The sequence below is a fragment of the Homo sapiens genome, chromosome 13, assembly GCF_000001405.40.
Source record: "Homo sapiens chromosome 13, GRCh38.p14 Primary Assembly".
Taxonomy (NCBI): domain Eukaryota; kingdom Metazoa; phylum Chordata; class Mammalia; order Primates; family Hominidae; genus Homo; species Homo sapiens.
The window spans coordinates 73,971,808-73,986,308 of NC_000013.11; the positions used below are offsets into that span (position 1 = coordinate 73,971,808).

At 37.6% G+C, this 14,501-nt stretch overlaps 1 protein-coding gene across 18 annotated transcripts in view; it reads right to left on the minus strand.

Annotated features, from left to right (window-relative positions):
• The window catches only part of KLF12 (KLF transcription factor 12), a 619,957-nt gene that overhangs the window by 285,719 nt on the left and 319,737 nt on the right, over positions 1-14,501 (minus strand). For 2 of the 18 annotated variants that reach the window (XM_011534907.3, XM_011534908.4), the window contains exon 2: positions 6,939-7,023. The exons of the other annotated variants lie outside the window; for them this stretch is intronic. In XM_011534907.3, coding sequence (XP_011533209.1) covers positions 6,939-7,010 — 72 coding nt within the window. In that variant the 5' untranslated portion in view covers positions 7,011-7,023. The remainder of the gene's footprint in view (positions 1-6,938; positions 7,024-14,501) is intronic. 18 annotated transcript variants of the gene reach the window in all.

The window sequence follows — 14,501 nt, forward strand, 5'->3', positions numbered from 1 at the left end:
TCATTTGTGACCAGAAGTTCAAGACCACCCTGGGCAACACAGCAAGACCCCATTTCATTTATCAAGAAAGCTAACAGATTTTTTTAAGTGAATTGATCAGATGACTCATAAGGTAAGGGCTTTAAATAGTATTGTTTTCTACTCACAAATTAACCAGCTGTACAATTACACTCATCAAATCAGACTTTGGGTGCTACCGAATCATTAAGTGTTCATTAAATCAAACCAAATGATATGAAATGATGCTCAGGAAAAGAAATGCCAACCTGTAACAAATGCTAAAGACAACCTTAAAATTCTGAAATGCTTTGAGTAAAGGGAGGAAAAAACATAATATACACGAGTATGTAAAATCACAGCAACATGTTAAAAGATTTAAACCACAGACGAAGAATTTAAAGGCTAACATTATGAGTTTTGATTCAGCAGAATAAAGAAACACTGACAATAACAAACATCAACACCTGAAACTTTCCCCATTATCCTAATACATTTTCACTGTAAGTGTTCCATTAAAGAACGTCTTTAAAACAATCTTCAAAGTTCGACTCCCTATAACTAATTCAATTAATAAAATTATCAATACAATTGAATAATAGTTTATAACAGCGTGGTGGTTCCTCAGGCACATATAGCCCATCTTTAATACATATTATGAATAATTTCCTTATGAGACATCTCAGTAATATTGAGTATAACACCAATTGCATTTAAACATAAATGTCATAAGCTGGATGTGAAGGTTGATTCTGGGTTTCTTATAAACCACAAATTTCAGTTTATTTTTATCATCTAGTATGCCTCAGATGGAATTCACAGTAATCACAGCTACAGTGGAGCAACTTCAAACATAAATGAAACAAATAACCGGCAGATCGATACGAGGTGACAGACTCCTGGCTGAAATCTTGCCCCAGCGTGACCCACTACTGCCCTTCTGCACTCTAAAGACTTAATGAATCACCAGAAGCACACTCAAGGTTGTGTGTGTTTTGCCCGTGTGAGAGCTGGATTTATATCAGTACCAAAAAAGGATCATCCCCTGCCATGAGAAAAATACAATAAAGAACACGTTTCTACAAGGTACTGGGCATGATGGTTTCATGCAGCATATGTATCTATCGTATAAACACTTCATCATTTTAAACTGAAACACCAAGAATGACAGAAATCAGAAAGCCTAATGAGGGGATAATTTTAAATGATAAGCAATTTGTAGTAAGTTGTTTCTATATTGGCAAAAGGAAATGGTGCAACAGCAATATACAAAAAGCAGAAATGTAAAACCCATTTAGCTTTCTGAATATGTTTTGCCCCAGGAAATGCATAAAATAACTTTGTTATTTAACACTGCAGATGCACCTGTGGGCACCAAAGTACTCTTAGTTATTTAAAATAATTACCCTGTGGAGAAATCTTAAGGTCTTTAATAAATAAAAATCTGTGCAATAGGGCTCTTACCAATAAAAAGGAAAGCCACAGTGTGAAACAAAATGCCACCAATCTCCCTTAGCGGTAGCTTCCTGCCATTCTGCTCAAAGGTACAGAAATAGTCTGCATGCCTTTATACTAAGTTCAGTATCTGAGTGGCTCTTTGAAAAGGCATCATTGTCCATACATCACCAAAACAGACAGAGAGGGCAAGGACATTTTGACATACTTGCACAGAATCCAGCCCAGCCCTTTTCCAGAATAAGTCCCATTCCACTCTTCACCTTGAATTACAGCAAAACGGAAGATATAATAACCAATTCTCAAAGTGTAGCTCCCTAGAGAAAATGGATAGGTCTCAACTATAGTATGAAAAGGCAGAAAGAAAGATTAACCAACACAAGACATAGAACATCTGCCCAGCAAGACAAGGTAAAACAAAGTCATAGGGAAAACAGGTAAACATAGCACAGGACAAAAAGGAAGTAAAGAAAGAAGAAATGAAAGAAAGAGAAGGAAGAAAACAAGCATGCAAAGGAGGAAAAAGCACTCACTCCTAACATTTACACAGCTTAAAAGCAGAAGGCTTCATGTTACAGGACTTCCAAAAAGTGATTATCAACGAATGGGAGCTCAAAGATGAAATGATAAGACAACAGAAAGATGTCACCAAGCCAATAAAACATACCGGAGACCAAAAATTTATCAACTCAGTACTCGTAAACACAATAAAAACAGCATGGAAAGGAAGAGACATGACTAAAAATAAAGGAATATGACTAAAAATTGAATTAATAATGTAGAAGAAAGGCTTAATTCCAAAGAATACAGAGGAGGAAGACAAATATTCTTTTTTAATGGAGAAAAGATAAGAGGCACAAAGAACAAAGAGAGCCTGAAAATTGCTGATCCTGAAGAACCCAAAAATTGGATAGAAAAATATTTCAAGTAAAAATAGTATAAACTTTCCCTAACACGAAGAACAGATTGAAATAACAGACAGTGTTCCAGGAAAAATTGTTACAGAATGATCCAAAAAAAGTTATATCCTTAAGTCACTGAACTTCAAGACAAAAAAAAAAGAATTCTGCAGGTGTTCAGGCAGAAAAGAGCAATTCACTTATGTGGGGGAACAAAGAAGTCAAACTGGTCTCACCCTTCCATTAGGAACACTCAATGCCAGAAGACAAAGGAGCATCGTCTACAGATTTCTAAGTGCAACTCAAGAATTTCACAAGGCCAAATACCTTTTGACTATAAAAGAAAATATATTTAAAGATGCAAGAAGTCAGGAAATGCAGCATCCACAAGACCTTCATAAAATAAACTCTTTAATAATAAAATCCAGTCAAATGAGTCATTAACAGAGACGCTATGGCAAAAGGATTACTTTGACACTAAAATTCTGAGAAAAAGTGTGATCCGATTACTTTATTAAGTCAATTGGAACTTAGAGTAGAAAAGTAGCTGTTTAATATACTCAAATATAAAATTTCTCAGGGAAAGAAGAATTTGTGATATTTTCTTAAAATTATTTGACAATGAAACCTAGTTGACAAATAACTGCAAATGAAAAGTGATGATAAAGAACCAGGGATTAACATCAAACAGATTTAAATGCAACACTATTATTTGCTGTTTGTTTAGTAGATAAACTCTTTTTAAGAGCACAGTACAGGTTTCTTAATTTTCCAGAGGATCAGGTAGAAAGTTCTACATTAGCAGTTAGCTCGTAAATTTATTAATCCTCAATAAATCAGTAAAAGGGAATCTTAAAACTCAAGAGCAACTTTTATTGTAGCTTTATCACTGTACGTTCCTATTTTTAAAAACTATTATTCCATTAGTAAAAGATGTATGTTCATCTAAAAATCTAACTAAATATTGAGTATGTAATTCAAAAGTAACTTTTTTTGTTGTGCTTCTGCTTTTTTCAGCTCTTTTCTGCCTATAAGGCCAATCTCTGCTCAGCTCGAGAACACTCGTTCTACTGTATAGAATGAGGTATTGTCCAATTCTATAATTACAAATAAAATCCAGTTAGATCTTTAAACTATATGTGTTGTAATTTTGTTTTGTTACAGGCTTAAAAAGATCTCATTTTCCACACCTGATTTTCTTGGTATAATTTCTTACTTCCTTCTTATGTTCAACCCCGCATACACTCAATAATGAAATCTTCATTTTATCTGCCTCCTAAACATGCTCCAAATCTACTCATTTTTTTCCATGTCTACAGCCAAGCTTAGGCACAGCTAAAGACACCATCACCATCAGCCCCTTAATTCTCTTGTCCTACTTTATTTCTCGATCCAGTGCTTTTTATATGCACTCAGAGTTCCTTAAAATGCAAATCTCATCATCTCCATTTCTTTCCGAAAGCTCCTCACAAACACACCTTCTTAGGTTATAAGTCTCATTATACTTTGGGCTCCTCTTCCCTTCAACAGGTATATTTCTCTGAGCACTTTACTCTCAAATCCAATCAGTCTTTCCTCAGTTCTTCAACTGTGCCGTACCTCCTCCTGGCCTATGTTCTTTCTCCACCACTCCTAACCCTCCTTTGGCTTACCTCTAATCATCTGTAGGTCTGTCTCTTTTAGCTTAAGTTTCCTTTGCACTGAAAAATCTTCACAATAGAACCCCAACCCCAACCAAATTTAGGTTGGGCGATCCCGCTATGTGCAGTCACAGAACCACATACTTCCAATCAAAGCTTTCCCACACTGTATGGAGAAGTGCCTTTCTGCCGGTCTGCATTTACTAGTAAACCCCATGCAGGCACACATTACACCCACCGTATTCATGGTTGGAAGCTCAGAAACTGGCATGTGCCTGGCACATAATAAGTCATTAAAAAAAATGTTGAGGAATTAATGAATGGGCCATGACAGAAAGTGTTTTTGTTTTGGGGTTTTTTTTTTCCCCCCACAGCTGGCCCATACATTATAAACCTTATTTTAATCCTCTCTAAAGCAACAAGTATGAAAGTTGTTCTTCACAGCAACTCTCAATACACTCTTGAAAAATAAATAAGTGAAACAGATACAAAAATGGATTTAGGAGCACGCCCCTCTGGAGCACCTCGAAGTTGACAAATGATCATTCCAAGGAACCGGTTGCTCAAGATAGAAATTGAAGTTTCATCATCCTCACACTCTCTCTTTCAGATCACCCTCAACAACAATCATCAGTATCTCTCAGTTCTACCTCAGAAACATGATGAACTTCCCTTTATCTCTATGTCAGGTGTTAACACTCCAAGCCAAGCCAACACCATCTCATGCTGCCCCACAACAGCCTCCCTACTCCAGTTGTTTGCAATTTTCTAATCCATTTTCTATATAGAAGCCCATGTCATCTTTGCAGAACTCTTGATCATGTAACTCTCCTGCTTATAATTTTTTAACGACTACATTTAGAGTGAAGTGAAATAATATCCTCATCACGCTGAAAGAAACTAAGTAGCTGGAGGATGTATGTTAAAGTCAGACTAACAGGCATTTAGGTAAGATGCATTACAAGGAGGATCACTAAGCAATGAGACAGAGTCAATTTTCTAGGAGTAATTTTAAAAATTCTAAATGAGTACACCTACTTAGCATAGTTCAAAACGTTATGAAGTCAAAATTTTTAGAAACACAAGGAGAAAGTGACAGAACCATCATTAGAATCAGAGATTTCAAACAAATCTCTGATGGGAGACTGGCCAAGCAAAAATCAGTAAGGTCGCAGAAATTTTAAGAAAAGTAAGTGAAAGCTTTATCTATTAGGCAAATATACAAGGATGTATACAATAAGAAGACAACATACTTTTTTTTTTTTTTTTTGAGACAGGATCTTACTCTGTCACCCAGATTGGAGTCCGGTGGCATGATCTCGACTCACTGCAATCTCCGCTTCCCAGGCTGAAGCACCTCAGCCTCCTGAATAGCTGGGACTACAGGCATGAGCCACCAACACCCGGCTAGCTTTTGTATTTTTTTTGTAGAGATGGGGTTTCACCATGTTGACCAAGCTGGCCTCGAACTCCTGAGCTCAAAGTGATCTGCTCACCTCAGCCTCCCAGAGCTGGGATTACAGGGATGAGCCACCGTGCCCAGCTAGATAACATACATTCTTTTCAAACACATACAAAGCATTTACAAAAATTACCCTTGAACTACCCCATATAGCAAAGCCACAAAAAATTAGTATCAAACAGACTACACGCTATAAATATAACACAATGAAATTAGAACTGGTAATTTAGTATAGTGGTTTAACATAGAACTCTCAGAAAAAGTTATAATGAAATATATAAAAATGAATAGGATTGAATGACAATACTTCACAACTCATGGGATTCTAGCAAGTTATTTTGTAATATTGACAAATTAATTCTAATGTTTATGTGGAGAGAGGCTAAAGACCTAGAATAGTTAATATAATATTGAAGAAGAACAATGTTGAAGAAATGACATTACCTGACTCCAGGAATTACTATAAAGCTACAGTAATAATCAGGACAGTCTGGTCTTGGCAAAAGAACAAACAAATAGATTAGTGGAACAGAACAGAGTTCAGAAATAGACCCACATAAATATAGTCAACTAATCTTTAACAAAGGTGCGAAGGCAATAAAATGGAGCAAAGATAGTCTTTCCAACAAATGGTGCTGGAACAACTTGACATCCATGTGCAAAAAACTAAATCTAGCCACAGAGCTTATACCCTTTTATACAAATTAACTCCAAACAGATCACAGACCTAAAAGTAAAATGTAAAACTCTAAAACCCTAGAAAACAACTTTAAGAGAAAATCTAGATGATCCTCAGTTCAAAGATGATTTTTTTAGACACAAAACCAAAGACACAATCCATGAAAGACATAACTGATAAGCTGAACTTCATTAAAATGAAAAATTTTTGCTATGTGAAAGACACTGTCAAGAGAATGAAAAGATAAGTAACAGACTGGGGAAAAATATTTGCAAAAGACACATCTGTAAAGACCGTTATCCAAAATATGCAAAGAACGCAAAGTTCAGAAAAAAAAGAGTGTAAAAAAATGTCCCAAAGACCTTAACAGAGACCTCACTGAAAAAGATATAAAGATGGCAAATAAGCATATGAAAAAAATATTCCACATTATATGATATCAGGGAAATGCAAATTAAAGCAACAACGATACAACACCACGCTCAGAATAACCAAAATCCAGAACACTGACAACTCCAAATGTTGGCGAGCATGTGGAGCAACAAGGACTCTCACTCATTGCTGGTGGGAAAGCAAAATGAAACAGCCACTTTGGAAGACAGTTTGTTAGACTCCTAGTTAGTAAACTAACTCTTACCTTAGGATCCACCAATCATTTCTTTTTTTATTTTTTAACCTCCCAAAGTCCAGGTTCCAGGCTTAATGATCTAGTAATCTTACTCTTTGGTATTTAGCCAAATGAGTTGAAAACTTATATATATCTACACAAAAATATGCATACCGATGTTAATAGCAGTGTTACTTACAGTTGCCAAAAGTAGGGACCAACCAAGGTATCCTTCAGTAGGTGAACAGATAAACTGAGACATCCAGACCATGAAATATTCAGTACTAAAAGGAAATGTGTGCTATCAGTCATGAAAAGACATGAAGGAAACTTACATACATATTGCTAAGTGAAAGAAGCAAATCTGAAAAGGCTACACACTATTATAATTCCAACTATGCAATATCCTTGAAAAGTAAAACTATGAAGACAATAAAACAATCAGTGGTTGCCAAGGGTTGGGGAGACAGAGGGATGAACAGGAAGAGCACTGAGGATTTTCATGGCAGTGAAACTGCTTTGTATGAAACTATATCAGAGGATATGTACCATTGTACATTTGTTAAAACCCGTAGAATATACAACACTCAGAGGAAACACTAATATAAACCAGGAACTTTGGGTGATAATGATACCTCAAGGTAGGTTACTCACTCAACTGTAATAAACGTATCATCCTGGTGGGGTATGTTGATAATGGGAGAGGCTACATGTGTGTCGGAGCAGAGGCAATTATGGGAAATTTCTACTTACTCTGCTCAACTTTGCTATGAACCTAACATTTCTTTTAAAAACAGTCTGCTTTTAAACACACACACACACACACACACACACACACACACACACACACACAAATCATGGAATACAGCTAATGCTGTCTGGAGAGAAATTTTTTAATTAAAGATTAATTTTCTCAGCAACTAAATTTAGAAGACAAAGAATATGAGAATAAACTCAGAAATTTTAAGAAAAAGACAAAGCTAACAAAATAGAGAAGAAAGATACAATGGAAATAAACAAAAGGAAATGCTTTGGAAAGACTATGAAATTGTCAAATCCTTGGTAATATTTACCAAATGAAAAAATAATGTAAAAGCAATCAATCATTATGAAATAAACTAAATAAAGCACAAGGGGAGACATAAGTACAGATACAGCGAGGTTAAACATATAATAGACTACTGTGAACATTTTTGTTATGGGCTGAATTTTGTCCCTTCAGAAATTCATATGTTGAAGTCCTAACCTGTAGAGCCTCAGAATATTGAGACTCTATTTAGAGATAGGGACTTCAGAAGAGGTAATTATGATAAAATAAGGTCATATGGGTAGATCCTACTTCAATGGCTGGTGTTCTTATAAGAAGAGGAGATTAGGACACAAAGACACACAGAAAAAAAAGACCACGTGAAGGCACAGGGTGAAGACAGCCATTTCCAAGCCAGAGAGGGGGCCTCAGAAAAAAATCCACCCTGCTGAGACCTTATCTTGGACTTCTAGCCCTCAGAAATGTGAGAAAATAAATTTCGGTTGTTTAAGTCATGAAATCTGTGGTACTGTGTTATGCAGCCCTAGCAAACTAGTACAATCTTACCCTAATGCATTTGAAAGCTTACAATAAACCAAATACAATTTATCAAATCTGACTCAAGAAGAAACTGAAAACCTGGTCTTATTACCATTAAAAATTGAATTTTAAGTTCAAATTTTACCCACAAAAAGCCACTCATCCCAGATAAATGGGTTCTACCAAATCCTTAAAGAGTAGATAATTGTTTATGCACATTCTTCCAAAAGATAGAAAAAGATTCTAACATAGCTACCAAAACCCAGTCAGAATATTTTTTTAAAAGTTACAGCCAATCTCACTTATGAAAATAGATGCAAATATCCTATATAAAATATTACTAAACATATCCCAGTGGGATATAAAATTATCATGATGAAGTTGAATAGAAAAAGCATTAAACATATTTATAAATTCAACAAAACTAAATATTAAATCAAAATAAAAAGTAAAAATCTACCATCTCAGAGAAAATAATTTCTATACATTTAATCAATCCTGAATATCTACCCCATCATCCCTACCAAAAAAGATGACCATTCAATAGAAAAATGGTCAAAAGACAAAAATGATTCCAAAGAAGCTGAAGTCCAAATAATCAATAAACATATGAACCATTAATAACAAAATGCAATTAAAACTACAGTGAGACACTATTTAACGCACACCAGATTGAAAAATCTTCAAATGTCAGCAGACACCCACAGTTAGTACGGACGTGGTAAAATGGGACTATTAAACAGTACTATTTAGGAACTGTTGCAGGCTGGGCACAGTGGCTCACACCTGTAATTCCAGCACTCTGAGAGGCCAAGACAGGAGGATCACTTGAGGCCAGAAGTTCGAAACCAGCCTGGGCAACGTGGCAAAACCTTGTCTCTATAAAAAATACAAAAATTAGCCGGGCGTGGTGATGCCTGCCTGAAGTCCCAGCTACTTGGGATATGGAGGCAGGAGGATTGCTTGAGCCAGGGCAGTTGAGGCTACAGTGAGCTGTGTTTGTGTCACTGCACTCCAGCCTGGGAGACAAAGACCCTGTCTCAGAAACAAACAAACAAACAAACAAAAAACTATTGCAACTACATGGGAAAACAATTGGACATTATCCAGGAGAGTTGAAAATTTCTCTACAATCCAGCAATTCTACTTCTGGGTATATATTCCAGAGAAAATCTTCTATATTTGTACCAGGACACATTTAAACGACTCTTCATAGCAGGTTTAAGATAGCAAAAAGCTTAAAAGAATAGGAATGTCCATTGCTGAAAAATGGATAAATTATGGTGTAGTCATAAAATAGAATTCTATTCATTTGTGGAAATAAATAATCTTACCTATACGCATCAATGTGAATGAATATCAAAAACAACAATGTCAAGTAAAAAAAGCAGATCATAAAAATATAAACAGTATGGTACTATTCATATGTCTCAAAACAAACAAAAGTAAATGATACATAGTTTGAACATGTACTTATATATGATGAAAAGAAAGGAAATTATAATACAAAATTCAGGATAAATGGTTATGTGTGAGACTGCTACTGTCTGAATGTGTCCCTCCAAAATTCGTGTTGAATCCTAATCTCCACTGCAGTGGTAATAAGAGGCGGTGCCTTTTAGGAGGTGATTTACGAAGCTGCCTTGTCCCTTCTGCCAAGAGAAAATGCAGCTAAGAGTAACCCCTGGCCAGACACTGAATCTGCTGGAGAGTTCATCTCGGACTTCCCAGCTTCCAAACTCTGAGCAATACATTTCTAGTATTTATAAATTACTCAGTCTAAGGTATTTTGTTACAGCAGCCCAGACAGGCTAAGAAAGGGACTAAAAGGGGTCTTGAAAAAAAATACTGGAAACAATCTACTTTTTTAAGTTAGGTTTCTCTGTTATCATGGCTTACAACTTACACAGTCAATACATATATATTCTTTTTTATCTTTCAAATACTTAATAAATTATCTCCCCTGTGCTTTGTTGACTAGAGTGATTAATTCTTTTAATTGGTTAAACAAGAACTTTCAAAGTCTGATTTTGAAAAACATTAACTTCATTGACTAGGATTTGCTTTATTAAGGTGATATGCTCATCACACAACAGAAGCAGTTATTTTATTTTTAAGGCATGAATAGAAACTTAATTTGCAATACAAAAAGCACAAGGAAAAGTGGTTAAGAAAATCCTCAGAACACTCAACAAACTAAAAGAAATGAAGGAGGAGGAGGAGGTTCCATTTTGGGGATTTTCTTGGTCCCATATGCATTGAAAGGTAAATGTACACTTAGGCAAAGACAATTGTCAGAAAGGATATCTTCCATTATTGAAAGGTAAACGTACACTTAGGCAAAGACAACTGTCAGAAAGGATATCTTCCATCATTGAAAGGTAAATGTACACTTAGGCAAAGACAACTGTCAGAAAGGATATCTTCCATTAAAAAATAAAAAAGAAATCTTGTTGCTAGATGCCTTATTATAAAATTGTTGGGTTATCACAAATGTGTAGATTTATAATCATAAATACACTTGGTATAGGAAAAAAACACTCTTCATATTTGTTACTATATTTAGCAATAGCCTAAGCAGTACATTCAGAGCATTTTTACCAAGATATCAGCCTAGCCATGGAGAGTAACTGCTTAGGAAAATCCCTCTCTTGCCATTTTTCTCATAGTTAAGTCCTGTAAACCAGACCCTTTCCCTCATCTACCACATACTGGAAAACTCTATCTTAATAAAAGAAATGTTCAGTATTTCAGGTTTTCTGTCACCCACTTTTCATTTATTTCAGGATTTCATTTTTCTTTCTTCTGTCACATATAATCATACTCTTTAACACTTTTTTTCCAAAAAAAAAAGAAAAAAAAGTAAAATTCATTCTCATTTTTCTCTCATTCTCCTTCTTTTGCTCTTACTCACATTTCATTCATCCTCTTGTTCAAATATTCATTGAAAAGATCTCTATAAGGCAGCTTAATACTTATCCAGTATGAGGCTCGCACCCTGTCCCTGTCTACCATCACTCCTCTCACCAAGGAATCCCTTTATCTTTGTTCCTGGAAGTTCAAGTGTACAGGGTTTCCTAGTCCTGTACTATGGCTCAACCAGAACGCCAGGCAACCAACCCTGGCACAGTCTAAGACTTAACATGCGATTAAAAAGCCACTTGCTTTCCAGCCCTGCTGTACAGAAGCTGCCCTATGCCACCACCTTTCTTGGTGCCAGCATGATTCAACTTAGTGATGTCAGCACGGACCTTTCACTACCCATCCCATTCTTCTCTCCAGTATCAGTGCCTTCTGGTTCGTGAACCTCTGTCTGAATTAACTACATTCCTGCTTATCGGGTGTTCTCCAGCACCGTGTCCTCCCAGTTACTGCCTGCCAATCTTGCCTCTAACTTACTCCCAGCCTTTATATTATTCATTCATATTCTGCATACAAACTATTGCTATCATTCTTGCTCATAACTTTGCTCTAAACTTTACTATCTGGACAAGTCCCTGGTGTCCCAATTATTCACATATTTCCATCATGTACAAAATCAGAATCCTCCTTTTCCTCATATTATGTTTTCTCTTTCCTAAACTCTCAATCACAAATCCCTGAGGCCACAAAGCCCTGGCCCCAGCCTGACTGGTCTATGGCATTATAGACAGGCAGTCAAGATCCCAAATCCAGGGAGCAGAGTGGCCTCAACCACAACAGACAGCAGTAACTGAGTCAAGTACCATATGAAAAAGCAAGAAGAGGCCACAAATAATCTTGCAGGTTCTCAGAGTCGTGCAGAATTCATAAGCAGTGAATCCAGGCAGGTGGTATTCTAGGGCAGATGAGCCTTCCTCATGTGGAGACGTCCATTCATGTGACAGCACTGTCCTCTCCACTACAAGGGTGGGTCCCAGGAGCAGTGCTTCAGACAGAAATGGGAAAATCAAGGAAAGAACAGGAACCAACAGAGGTCTATAATCCTCTATAAGATCCTCGGGTGGGGAGGACAGCAAGCAGGTAGAGCTGCAAGTGAAATGGCAGAGAAGAGGCAAGGAAAGACTTGGTGGTGGATTTGAACTATCTCAACTACATGTCTACATTTTCAGAACTGTCTTCCCTGCAGCATGCCATCATTTTTGGGTTATAAGAGCCACCCTGGCGGGACTCGGGGCAGTAGTGAAGCACCTGCCGCATGCATCTCACACTGGGAAGGTGCAGCTCACACACACTGTCGCCTATGTGCCTGCTCTCCTCGCTGGCACAGGGAAGCGGCTGGTCCACGGGATTGCCTTCATCTGCTTATTTTATTCATAGGCCATGACGCGTCTTGCTCAGGGAAGGGTGCCAGCTTCTCCCACAGTTCCCTGGCCTCTCTGAAGTTAGAGGCTTATGATCAGTGAGGGTCTATGTGGACTGGCATGTGCCCTTGTACATCCAGTGTGGCCTTCCTCTCCTGCGCTCCACTCTCATCCTTCCTTCCCGACTGCTAGCCCTGGTGATTTCAGCTCTGGCGCCAAATATATAGAAGCAACAGCCATATATAATGTGCTTAACTAGTTCCTACCATCATAGGAGGTCAAGTCCTTTTAAGTCCCATATTCGGCACCTTTCCCCTCATTCTGTTTCTCTTTTCACACCCCAACTGATACAGAATTTGGCACCAGAACTAGTTCCAGAAAAACAAAACGTTACGGATTCCTCCAGTTTGAAGATGAACTGTAGCTGATGCTGTTTTCCAGAAATGTTCACTACAGTATCTCCAGTCACATGTGCTCTTCCAGAATGTTTCCACTCTCCCATCAAGGGGTGGGGGATATGTCCCCTCCTTTTGAATTAATGAGCCTGTCTTTATAATCACCTGGATGAACAGAATATGGGGGAAATCACATGGCATCACTTCCAAGGGTGACACAGCTTCTGCCTGGTGTTATCCCCCCACCCACCTTCCCCAGTGCGCAGCTTTACTGTTAAGGAAGCCTTGGCCACATGAAGGCGTTGCAGCCAACAGACTGGCTGAGAGCCAGCACTAACTGGAAAACATGTCGACGAGAGTCTTCATGATTGCAGTCATCCGCCTTTGAACCTCAGCAGCCACTGAGCAGAGCAAGGAGAAGCCGACTCCACCAAGTCCTACCCAAGTAGCCACTTCAAGAGCAAAACACATACTGCTTTTGCTTTAAGCCACTAACCTGGGATGCTCTGTTTTGCAGCAATGGATGATGAAATCGTGGTTGTCACAAGGTGCCCAGATTCCAACTCTCAGTTAAAAAGGACACTCAACTCTCAGTTAAAAAGGAACACCTACCCTTCAATTTGAGTGCACATGATTGAAAACAGGGAAAGGGATTACTCACGGCAGAAGGGTGCAAGGCCGACAACCAGTGATTATCACAGTGTGCAACATTAGAAGGAGGCTTTAAACCAGGCTCAGGGTCCCAAACCCCAGACTCTGTGTAACTACCATCCCCTTTTTACTTACAGTCCTGGCTCTAACGACTCTCCATGTGTTTGCTCTCAATCTTCCAGCTTCTCATTGTCAAGCGGCCTTTCATTTTCCCCTAGATGCCAGCTATTAGCACTCTAAATTAAAGGAGTCATCCCTGAGATGTGAAGCTATTAAAACTGCAAAAGGCCCCTCTCACAGATTTTGCTCCCCTTAGACTCTCTGCTGTGTGAAGACGGATGAAAAGAAAAAGCTATACAGAACTTTTCCTCACTTTGATAACAAAAACAATCAAAAAAATTCCCCCAGAAAAAGTTCTTTGAAATCTAAAGGATCTCACTACCCTGAAAGAGGCAACAGCCCTAGCCTATCTGTTAATTTCAATAGATAGCTGCTGGCTAGGTATTAACTAAACTTTAAATACAGCTCCGGAGCCACAGCTGCAAGAGATACAGGATGTCTTAGTAAGTGTATGGGTTGTAAGTAAGTGCATGCTATCACCTCAAGAGCTTTTAACGAGATAACCAAACATGTTTCCTGAAACTAGATTTCAGTTTTATCAGATACGCTACAAATAACAACATTCAAAAACAAAGGAAAATTTGTTAGGCCAAAAGGTCTGATGAATTCTAAAAGTAGTTCATCTAGCTTTGAAGGCACATAAAACCATAGTATCACCATGTGAAACTGTGGTAAACAATCTACTGTTTGCAAAAAATTAGATATTTATTAGATTTTTTATAATGGGAAATTTTAATATTATCACT